Genomic DNA, 12,001 nt, shown 5'->3' with positions numbered 1-12,001 from the left:
ATTTACATTAAATATGTCAATAAAATCTCTAGTTATATTCTTTGAAGGTTTACTAAAAATATTCAGAGTAAATGCAAAATATTTTATCATACTTTAATATTGATGTAAGTATTCCATTTTGGAAGGGATTTTTCTTTAGATAAATTTTGAGTATTTCACTGCATACTGTATTTGTCTCCCACTAGTTAGCAAGAGTTATGGAGTAAGCTCACTATGACATAATGTACCAATTACTTTTCTTGGTGTACCAGTATCTCCTTTCATCTTGTGTTTGGACAGTGCTGCCGTGTGTGTGTGTGTGTGTGTGTGTGTGTGTGTGTGTCTATGTAGGTCTGTGTATGTGCTTGCAGGAAAACAAATCCATATGGGAGACTAGTGAAGACAATAGTAGTTGACTTTTCTGTTGTGCTAATTCAATGAAAATTTCAAAACTAAGCATTTACAGAGAAAGCAATTCAAGATGTTGCAGGTAAAGTCTTTTTTCATTATGTATCATAAGAATAAAAATTAAATCCTGTGTTAAATCATATCCTCTCTATTAAGTTGACTGACCATGATATAATATATCCCAATAAGGTCAGAAATAAGCCTGACTAGGCTAACTTTCTTAAAAGAATACTGCTTATCTCATTTGCCCTCCATAGGTACAGCATTTTTACTTTTCCTTTTATTTTTATTTTATGTTTTTTTTTTCAACTCTTAGTTTAGATTCAGAGAGTACATGTGCAGGGTTGTTACCTGGGTATATTGTGTGATGCTGAAGTTTGATGTACAGTGGATCTCGCCCAGGTACTGAGCATAGTACACAATAGGTAGTTTTTCAATACCTGCTCCCCTCCTGCCCTACCCTCTCTAGTAGTCCCCAGTGTCTATTGTTTCCATCTTTATGTCCATGAGTATGCAGTGTTAGGTTCTCATTTATAATTAGGAAAATGCAGAATTAGAGGAAAACTGGTCTGGTTTTCTGTTGCTGCATTAATTTGCTTAGGATAATGGCCTCCAGGTGCATCCATGTTGCTACAGAAGAACATGATTTTATTCTTTCTTATGGCTGAGTAGTATTCCATGTTATAGATATATTACACTTACTTTATCCAATCCGGCATTGATGATCACCTATCAGTGATGATGTCTTTGCTATTGTGAATAGTGTTGCAGTAAACATATATGTGCACGTGTTTCTTTAGTAGAAAGATTTTATTTTCTTTTGGATATATCCAGTAATGGGATTGCTGGGTCAAATGGTAGTTCTAAGTTTTTTGAAAAATGTCCCCACTGTTTTTCACAGTGTCTGAACTAATTTACATTTCCACTAACAGTGTGTAAGTATTTCTTTTTCACTACAGCCTCACCATCATCTGTTTTTTTTTTTTTGACTTTTTAATAATAGCCATTTTGACTGGTGTAAGATGGTATCTCATTCAGGTTGTTTTTTTTTTCAAGTTATTTAATTTTTTTTTACGAATTTTTAAAATTTCAGTAGGCCTTTGGGGAACAGATAGTGTTTGGTTACATGAATAAGTTATTTAGTGGTGATTTCTGAGATTTTGGTAAACCCAACACCCGAGCAGTGTACGCTGTACCCAATGGGTAGTCTTTTCTCTCTAACCTCCCTCCCACCCTTTCCCCTGAGTCTCCAAATTGTGGTTTGGATTTGCATTTCTCTGATAATTAGTGATGTGTAGCATTTTAAAAATATATTTGTTGGCTGCTTGTATGTCTCCCTTTAAGAAGTGTCTCTTTATATCATTTGCCCATTTTTAAGTGGGTTATTTGTTTTTAGCTTGTTGATTTGTTTAAATTCCTTAAAGATTCTAGATATTAGATCTTTACCAGCTGCATAGTTTGCAAGTATTTTATCCCATCCTGTTGGCTGTCTGTTTACTCTGTTGATAGTTTATCTTGCTGTGCAGAAACTCCTTAGTTTAATTAGGACCCACTTGTCAAGTTTTGTTTTTGTTGCAGTTGCTTTTTAGGACTTACCCACAAATTCTTTCCTGAAGCCAATGTCCAGAATGGTGTTTCCTAGATTTTCTTCCAGGATTTCTAGAGTTTGAGGTCTTATATGTAAGTCTTTAATCCATCTTGAGTTAATTTTTATATGTAGTGAAAAGTATGGGTCCAGTTTCTACTTATTGCTAGCCAGCTATCTCAGCACCATTTATTGAATAAGGAGTCCTTTCCCAATTGCTTGTTTTTGTCAACTTTGTCAAAGATCAGATATTTGTAGGTGTGCAGCTTTATTTCTTTGCTCTGTATTCTGTTCCATTGGTCTATGTGTCTGTTTTTGGACCAAGACCAGGATGTTTTGGTTACTGTAGCTTTTTAGTATAGCTTGAAGTTGAGTAATTTGATGCCTCCAGGTTTGTTCTTTTTGCTTAGGATTGCCTTGGCTATTCCGGCTCTTTTTTAGTTCCAAATGAATTTTAGGATGGTTTTTCTATAATTCTTTGAAAAATTACATTGGCAATTTGATAGGTAGTACACTGAATTATAGATTGCTTTGGGCAGTATGATTATTTTAATTATATTGTTCCTTTCCGTCCATGAGCATTAAATGTTTTTCCATTTGTTTGTCCTTTATATGATTTCTTTCATCAGTATTTTGTAGTTCTCCTTGTAAGGTCTTTCACCTCCTTCGTTAGGTGTATTCCTAGATATATATTTTTTTCTATTGTAGCTATTGTAAATGGGATTTCATTCCTAATTGGACTCTCAGCTTGAACCTTATTGGGGTATAGCAATGCTACTGATTTTTGTACATGAATTTTGTATCCTGAAATTTTCCTGAAGTTGTTTATTAGTTCCAGGAGCCTTTTGCTCATGTCTTTAGGGTTTTTATAGATGTGGAATCATGTTGTCAGTGAAGAGAGAAAATCTCACTTCTTCTTTTCTTATTTGGATGCCTATTTCTTTCTCTTGCTTGATTGCCCTGGCTAGGACTTTCAGTACTATGTTGAAAGGAATAGTGAGAGTAGATATCCCTGTCTTGTTCCAGTTCTCCAGGGAAATGTTTCCAGCTTTTGCCCATTCAGCATAATGTGGGCTGTGGGTTTATCATAGATGTCTCCTATTATTTTGAGGTATGCTTCTTCGATGTCTAGTTTCCTGAGTGTTTTTATCATGAAGGAATATTTGATTTTATCAAAGCCTTTTTCCGTGTTTTTGAGAGATCATATAGTTTTGGTTTTCAATTCTGTTTATGTGGTGAATCACATTATTTATTTGTGTATGTTGAACCAACCTTGCATCCTAGCAAGAACATCTACTTGATTATGGTGAATTTACTTTTTATGTGCTGCTGCATTTGGTTCGCTTGTATTTTGTTGAGGGTTTTTGCATCTATGTTCATCAGGGATATTGGCCTGTAGTTTTCTTTTTTTGTGGTGTCTTTGCCAGGATTTGATATCAGAGTGACGTTGCTTTCATAGAATGAGTTACAGAGGATTCCTTCCTCCTTAATTTGTTGGAATAGTTTCAGTAAAATTGGTATCCATTCTTCTTTGAATGTCTGGTGGAACGCAGCTGTGAATCCATCTGGTCTGGAGCTTCTTTTGGTTGGAGGTTTTTTGTTTCTTATTCAATTTCAGAACTCAATATTGGTCTTTTCCGTGTTTCAATTACTTCCTGATTCAATCTTGGGAGATTGTGTGTTTCTGGGAATTTATCCATTTCCTCTAGATTTTCTAGTTTTGTATTCATAGAGATGTTTGTAACAGTCTCTGAGGATTTTATATTTCTGTGGAATCGATTGTAACGTAACCTTTTTCATTTCTGATTGGCACAGCATTTTTAAGCAAGGTTCTAGATGGGCCTAATCAGTTCAAAAATGTACTTTATATTATCTGAATGGATATTAAATTACCAGAAATTTGAGAAACTTTAAAATTGTTTAATTGATTATATATGTATTTTATATATATATATAATATATATCACATATTGGTAATAAATATAGAACAAACACCTATGGATCTACCACCTCAATTAAAAAGCAGAACAGGCCAGGCGCGGTGGCTCACACCTGTAATCCCAGCACTTTGGGAGGCCAAGGCAGGCGGATCATGAGGTCAAGAGATCGAGACCATCTTGGCCAACATGGTGAAACCCTGTCCCTATTAAAAACACAAAAATTATCTGGGCATGGTGGCACACACCGGTAATCCCAGCTACTTGGGAGTCTGAGGCAGGAGAATCACTTGAACCTGGGAGGTGGAGGTTGCAGTGAGCCAAGATCGTGCCACTGCACTCCAGCCTGGCAACAGAGCGAGACTCTGTCTCAAAAAAAGAAAAAAAAAAAAAGCAGAACATTGCAAATATTAACTCTATCTCTTTGCTCCTTACTTTCCTATCCTGTCCTCCTCCCTTCCATAATTAACCATCATCCTAAATGTTGAAATTACTCCTTTGTCTTTTAAACATATAATTTTTACCAGATAAAATAAAAAAGGTTAAAATGCTTTTTAGAATTGACAACTGCCAGTATTACACAGTTAAGTTAAACACTTAGATTTATACTCTGATTTTGCCATGTTATCCCTGTCTTTGGACATTTTCAGTCTGAATTAAAAAAAAAAAACTAAATAAAAAAGTGTGAGAGGCATTGTTATAGAATGTAACTTCTATGTAGAGTTTTTGTGAAGATTAAATAGAGAAAGCATATAAAATGCACAATGCAATGCCTGGTGCTTCCTAGATTTTAAAAAAATCATTAGTATTAGTATTAGTAGCAGTATTACTACTATTATTATCATTATATGTTACTGTGTATGTGTAATTGTTGATTATAATTTAGTAACGAGTGAATCAACATAGTTTAATTGAAAGCTTTGTCTTAGTTCCTAGATAGTAAAATTTTTTTTGGTTATACATATTAACATTTTAATGAATTTTTTCTTCAATGATTCCATGTATGCCTTGTGTTTTATTATTGGAACACTGAGCATGTGGGGGTTGTTTATATCCTACTGATCAAGATCATCACCAAAGTCTGATTGCAAAAATTCAAGACATTGCAACCTTAGGAATAAATGGGTTAAGAAGATAATTTGAAGCATATAATTCTATATCAACATTTGTCAATACCCTCATGATACTTGGGCTGTCACAATAAGCAGAATCACTGAATGACTGTGACAGAACTGAATCTAATCCTTCTCAATCACACTACATCCTACTCCAGTAGCTACATGAAGTGAAACATGCTTGTGCTGATCATCTTATGACCTTCCCAAAATTTTAATAATTTACAAGCTATTCAAACCTCCTGGTTACCACTTTCTTTTTGTGAGGAAATTGGAATGAAGTACCTTATTATCCTAAAATTGTTTCCATAGATAATATTTATAGTTTATAAATTAAAGATATTTCAGAATATTTGTACACATCGCATACACATTTACAAACAAAGCATAGTTTTCAATTACAAAATTAATAGATATCTAATAATTCTAAAAGAGACTTTATAGATTCCCTTGGCATTTTATGTCCCTGTAGTGTGTTACTACATATGCTATGTGGAAGGAAAAATTATATTTTGACAGTTTGCTTTTCTCAGGTTGTTGCTTAGCAGTGCAGATGCTATCATTTCTTTCATTGTTTTTATCACATGCATAATTTTCAAAGACACAGTGCTTGTAATGGCTTTAAGAAATTATTACCTTCCAGAATTTTACTATACTATTAGTATGTTCCTCAACAGCTACTTATCATACATTCTTGCTAAAATAGGCAATATTATTTTTCTCCACCCCTTTGCTTTAGTTTGATAAGAAAATATGAGGGAACTAATAACTACTTTATAAATAAAATTTGTTTTCAGATTAATACAGAAGCAGAAACAAACACAAATAAACATATTAAAGATGATGTCCTAATGATATCATAATGAGGCTCTAAATAATACTAGTTGTGTTGTATATTATAAAAGTATTGTGGGAAAAAAAATTCAGCAGGGCAAGTTATCTGAATTTAAAAGCAATGGAAGAACTTCCAAATAAGAATGTCAGTAAATTCTCAGCATAAAATACTACAACTTTGAGGAAACTGCAATTAAAAGACAAATACTATGAATCAAATTATTAAAACAAATTAGACTGTTTCTATCATTAAAGTTTAAATGCCTCAGACAAATAGATAAGAAAATACTGATATAATAATAGATAAATACACTATGAACTGACAATTCACAATACAGGAAAGAGAACAATTATGATAACATTAGATAACATAAATATTAGATAACATAAATATTCAAAACAGCTGAATATAAAAGAGTTGATAAAGTTTTAACAAAGTTTTAAAATTTCGAACTGACTAATACAACTCTGTAGGGAAGATATGAACTCTGGAGTTCAAAATATCTGTGTACACTTTTGTAGCCCCATCATAGTAGTTCTTTAAAAATCTAGGCTCTGACATAACAAAATCCATATTTCTACTGTGTGCACCCCTTGCTCTTTTATGATCCTTTGATGCCCTGCTTTTCAGTGGAGTCCTTAAGAAGATCTTTCTCTTACAGTGCAACCTTAACCATTTCTGCTACTAATTAACCTTTCTTCCCCTAAACTGGTTACACATTCCATGTGCATGTTTGTCTTTCTTTCTTCTATTTGTGCTGTCTGTGAAATTTAGGAGAGGAACAAAGATTCTCTCAGCAAAAGGGCACCAAATCTTTTTATTGCTAAATCCTTGGTTCATGGATTCTCAATGGTCAGCCTGAGGCCATAATTGTGTTCATATGTCACCATAGACTAATCTCAGGAGCCTGCCCTCTTTCAATTCCTTATCCCCGTACAGAATCCTAAATATCATTTCTGGTCTCGTTACCATTTAAACTTTCAACTAAACAACTTCAAGAGACACTTCTCAGGGGAGAATTGCGGGGGAAAATGGTAGTTGAAAACTAGCTTCCGCTGTGTATATATTCAGATAATCAGTAACAAAACTGTGGAGATTTTCCCATCCCTCCGTAACACATTCCTGTAAAAGGAGAAAGGTGAGATGTAGAACTTTCAGAAACGCAGAAGCAAGTCTCCTCTATATAAACATTATAAGGTGCAGTTATTATTTTTCAATCAGAACACCTTCAGTGTGACCCTTGATCATTTAGTACCTGCCAAGAAAAGCTTAACCATCTACAGAAAAATATCATTTACCCTTTATCTAAAAACTACTGCTATATTCTCGTTAATTAATTTATTTTTATTTTTTATTTATTTATTTTTTTGAGACGGAATTTCACTCTGTCACCCAGGCTGGTGCAATCTTGGCTCACTGCAACCTCTGCCTCCTGGGTTCAAGTGATTCTCCTACCTCAGCCTCCTGAGTATCTGGGATTACAGGTGTGTGCCACCACTCCTGGCTAATTTTTGTATTTTTAGTAGAGACGGGGTTCTCACCATGTTGACCAAGCTGGTCTTGAACTCCTGACCTCAAATGATCCACCCACCTCAGCCAACCAAAGTGTTAGGATTACAGGCGTGAGCCACCAGGCCAGGCCCTCATTAATTTGTTTTAAATAAGAAATCACAGTATTTAAATATAGGCAGTTCCTAATTTTTTTTTTTGTATTTCTTTTCTTTCTTTTTATTTTTTTGAGATGGAGTCTTGCTCTGTCACCCAGGATGGAGTGCTGTGCTGCGATCTTGGCTCACTGCAACCTCTGCCTCCTGGTTCCAGTGATTCTCCTGCCTCAGCTTCCCGAGTAGCTGGGATTACAGGCACATGCCACCACGTCCCTTTAATTTTTTAAAATTTCAGTAGAGACGGGATTTCACCATGTTGGCCAGGCTGGTCTCAAACTCTGGACTCCAGATGATCCGCCCAGCACTACCAAAATGCTGGGATTACAGGCATAAGCCACCCAGCTTTAAATGTTAATTCTATCAGTGAAGTGATACAGGTTGAATTTTCTTTTAAAAATAATTTGGGTAAAAGATAAGAGATCAACTGTATACGATTTCATGGGAATTTAGGTCAATTTAACTATGTCCCAAGAACTACATGTGTAGCACTTGCTGGGACTAATGATCAACTTGACTTGACCAGGCAAATTCAACATTAGCAACAGGTGAGCAACTTTATTAGAAGCAATTTCTATGTAAAATAAATCCTGGAAGTCATTGACGTTATTTTAATACTACAACAAAGAGCAGAACAACTGATAGAAGAATTAGGCTCTACAAGACTTAAGAGATGGAAGACTGTTCGCCATTCATTAAGAGAAAGGGTGGGGCCGCAGGTCTCAGAAGCCCTAAGGTTAGCCTTCAGCATGGATTCTTGTCAGTCATGAATCATTCTCTGACACGAGATCTTGAAGGTGGAATCCAAGTTCCTTAGAGGCAAAGCAGTGTGGCCTTCTACCTACAGAGTTCATACAAGTGTTTTGATTAATATGGAATAATTTGTCACCAGAAGCTGAGTTACTAAAAGATAATTGGGGGAAATTTCAGCTCACATTGTAGGAGAGATTATGCTTGTCTTAATTAATGGTTTTGACCTGAGTCAAGTTGGGAGGTGTTTTAATCAGAGAACTGGAGGCTGGAATTTTTTAAATGACACCAAAAAATTCAACAAAATAAGCTGTATTTTTTTTCCTAAAAGAAGATTCATGATAGCTCACCAAAAATATACTTTTTAGAGAAGTTTTGTTGTTATTTTCCTATATGTGAGGCAAGTCTCTCTGCTGAGAGGTTGACTCCACTTCACTCCTATTCCTGCCACCTCTGAACTCTGAATTACAATCCTAGACCTGGCTTTGATCCTCTGGAGTGTCACCGAGGAAGGACATCAGAAACTGGTGGAGTAAACCAACTTAAAGATTTTTCCTTGTCTAGGTTTCCTTCAGTTTTATACTGAGTCTCTGTTTTATAGAACTTTCAGATACAGAATGCTGCTATTCAAAATGCCCTCAGGCTAGGCAGTTCTTGATTGATCCTAAAATATGATACGAATGTGGCTCAAATAGTTAGAAAGTCAGGATGGAGATGACCATAAAGTTGAATAATTCAAGAAAATAGGAGAATCAGAGATTGGTGTCTAGAGTCTTGGAGGTTGCCTCAACTAGAGAGAGGACCATGTAAGAGAAGGACTGAGGAGTTGATTTTAGGTGTTCCAGCCAACAGATCAAGTAAGAAATCAAATAAGTATCATCTTATCAGATATAACCATTCTCTTTTAAAGCTAAGAATGAGGGGCATCTCTTTGGTTATAGCTTAATACTTGCCGTGGCAAAATGTGCATACTTACAAGAGAAATGCAACTCTGTGTATATGCATGCGTACATGTGTTTACAAACACAACAATAAGAAATTCTTTAAAACAAAACTAAAAATAGTGAAAAAAATCACAGTTTTCTTTCAGTATTCATGAATTTTGTGTTTCCAGGTCAACTGTTTATAGTAGGATAATACATTCAATAGGATGTATAGAGGATAAAAATGAGATGTAGCTGATTCAAAAACATCTAGGTTCTAATATCATTGAATTAAGAAATTAAGAACAATAACTCAAGTTTAAGACATCAAGTCAAATTTTCTTCCCAGTGCTTCTGTCAATAAAATGTTTATTTTCTTAGAATATGGGTTGTATACCACATTTTACTAAATTGTTTACCCTATATTGTGCACTTAGGCTACAGTTTACCTAGATGCAACTATTCACACATTTTTCTGTCTTTAATACATTATTTCTTAACTCTCCACTAAGAATAGTTATCTTACATGGTGGGTAAATTAGTCCTGTCATATTAAGAGTTTGATATTTTATTTTATAAATTTATGCTTTATTACAATATTTTGACAACTTAGAATGACTACCAAAAATTTAATTCTTAGGGAATTTAATATGTGTTGTCTTCTCAGGGTTGAATATTACTTTTGTCATGATATATTTTATTTTCAAAACACTGGTAAATTATATTTGTGAATATTTTATTTAGAAATTTATTTCACTAGAATTTTAAAATTTGGTTGTGTTATGTGGTTATAGAGCCAATAATGAAAAGTTAAAAAGTTTCACAACTTTTCTTGTGTTCTCAAATAGTGTAAATAATGGAAACTACTTTCTGAAGGCATTTCAGAACTCAGAATAAAATAACCTCAGTGTATTCTAATTTAGGACAAAATATATTTACTATTTTCATAATTTCCTATTGTTTTTTCCTTCAAACTTTTATTACTTATTCAGCCAACTTCATTAAATAAAATTTTCTTTGTAAATTACCTGTTTTACTTCGATTTTCAGATGTAATGGTTCAGTGTTGTATACATCATTCCACATATGCAAATAATTTTTATTTTGTGAAATGATAAAAATATATTAAACTCTATAGATCTTTCATCATATGCCTGGGTACATACTCACCATCCCATATCAGAAATTATTAATATTTTTATTGTATTCTTCAAATCTTATGTTTGATCCCAAGTCCCACTTTTTTCAAAGATAATTATTATTTAATTTATTACACAACTGTGTGTATATATATGTGTATATATAAATCATATATGTACATATATAATTTATATTATATATATATTATATATATGTATATATATTGCATTTCTCTTGTAAGTTTGCACATTTTGCCACGGCAAGTATTAAGCTATAACCAAGGAGATGCTCCTCGTTCTTAGCCTTAAAAGAGAATGGTTATATCTGATAAGATGATACTTATTCGATTTAGTATCAAATAAGTATTTGTGAATATTTTATTTAGAAATTTATTTCACTAGAATTTTAAAATTTGGTTGTGTTATGTGGTTATAGAGCCAATAATGAAAAGTTTTATATATATATATACACACACACACACACACACAAAAAGTATATATATATATATATACACACACACACAAATACATATATGTGTGTTTGTGTGTATGTGTGTGTGTGTGTGTGTATATATATATATATACACATATATATGTGTATATATATATATATGTATATATATATACATATATATATGTATATATACTTTTGCCTGGGATTAGACACATTTTTCCCTATTCCTCTGGCTATGTACAATTAAAAACTGAGACATATATAAAACGTATTCTGAAAGGTGGAGAGAGAGAATCAGGCAGTTTAGGGGCCTCAGTACCGGAGAAATGATGTAGTGATGAGTTTCCTGGATTTTCTTTTTGATTCACATATTCCAAACTGCGAGCTGGCTAAGATAGTAACCTGGTAATGCCAACAGAAACATATTTTTAAAAAGTCCTAACAGATGCCTGCTGTTCCTAACTGAAAGAACAGAAAAATGGCAATCTAGCAAGACAGAAACTTTTATACAATAAACTCTTTATTGAAGAAAAACACCTTAAGAAAGACCATGGTACCACCCTCATCCAGCCAGCAAATGCAGAGTTCAGAGCCTAGATTTTCATTGTCTCTAGGTTGTAGTGAAGTTTATAAACCTCCCTTCTCTACCCTACAGGGCTGGTGTCAGAGAAGGCTGAATTGGGTACCAAGACATTCCTTCTCTCCAGGTGGTAACAAGGACCCTCACATGGTATTAATGAAGACCAAATGGTAAGCCTCCATTTTCACTTCTACCTTGCAGTAATGAACTGTTACTCTTTCTTTTCCTCACTGGGAAGGTATTAAAAGATGTCTCTCAGAGAGTCAATGCTTTCACCTTCTCAGTAGCAATAAGGCTTCCCACCCCCAGCTATCTTAGTGTAAGTACAGGTCATGTGAGATACAGAAACAAGGCACCCCTTCTCCTACTAGATAGGGAGATATTAGTAGAAATCTAGCGGTGAGCCAGAACTCCTAATATCTCACAATAATTAGTACCTTCCCTCCTTGAGTATAGATGTCGGCCAAGTGTAGAACCGAATTTCTGTCCCCTTCTGGCAGTAACAAGGGGGTGCCCCACTCTTCCCCTGCCAGAGTGATGTCAGAGAAAGAGAGCTAAAACAGGCTTAAGTAAGATGCAGCATTTTATAATACCCAAAATATCTAGGTATTCATATAAAATTATACATCATAC

General features: G+C 34.2%; 1 long non-coding RNA gene across 1 annotated transcript in view; it reads left to right on the top strand.

The window, feature by feature from the left end:
- LINC02882 (long intergenic non-protein coding RNA 2882) overlaps positions 1-12,001 on the top strand; it is a 159,459-nt gene that overhangs the window by 123,304 nt on the left and 24,154 nt on the right. The window contains exon 5 of the long non-coding RNA NR_038300.1: positions 11,444-11,538. This is a non-coding gene — a long non-coding RNA (long intergenic non-protein coding RNA 2882). The remainder of the gene's footprint in view (positions 1-11,443; positions 11,539-12,001) is intronic.

This window comes from Homo sapiens, chromosome 12 (assembly GCF_000001405.40).
Source record: "Homo sapiens chromosome 12, GRCh38.p14 Primary Assembly".
NCBI classification, from domain to species: domain Eukaryota; kingdom Metazoa; phylum Chordata; class Mammalia; order Primates; family Hominidae; genus Homo; species Homo sapiens.
The sequence above is the reverse complement of the archived record's forward strand: the minus strand, read 5'-3'. Positions and strand labels throughout refer to the sequence as shown.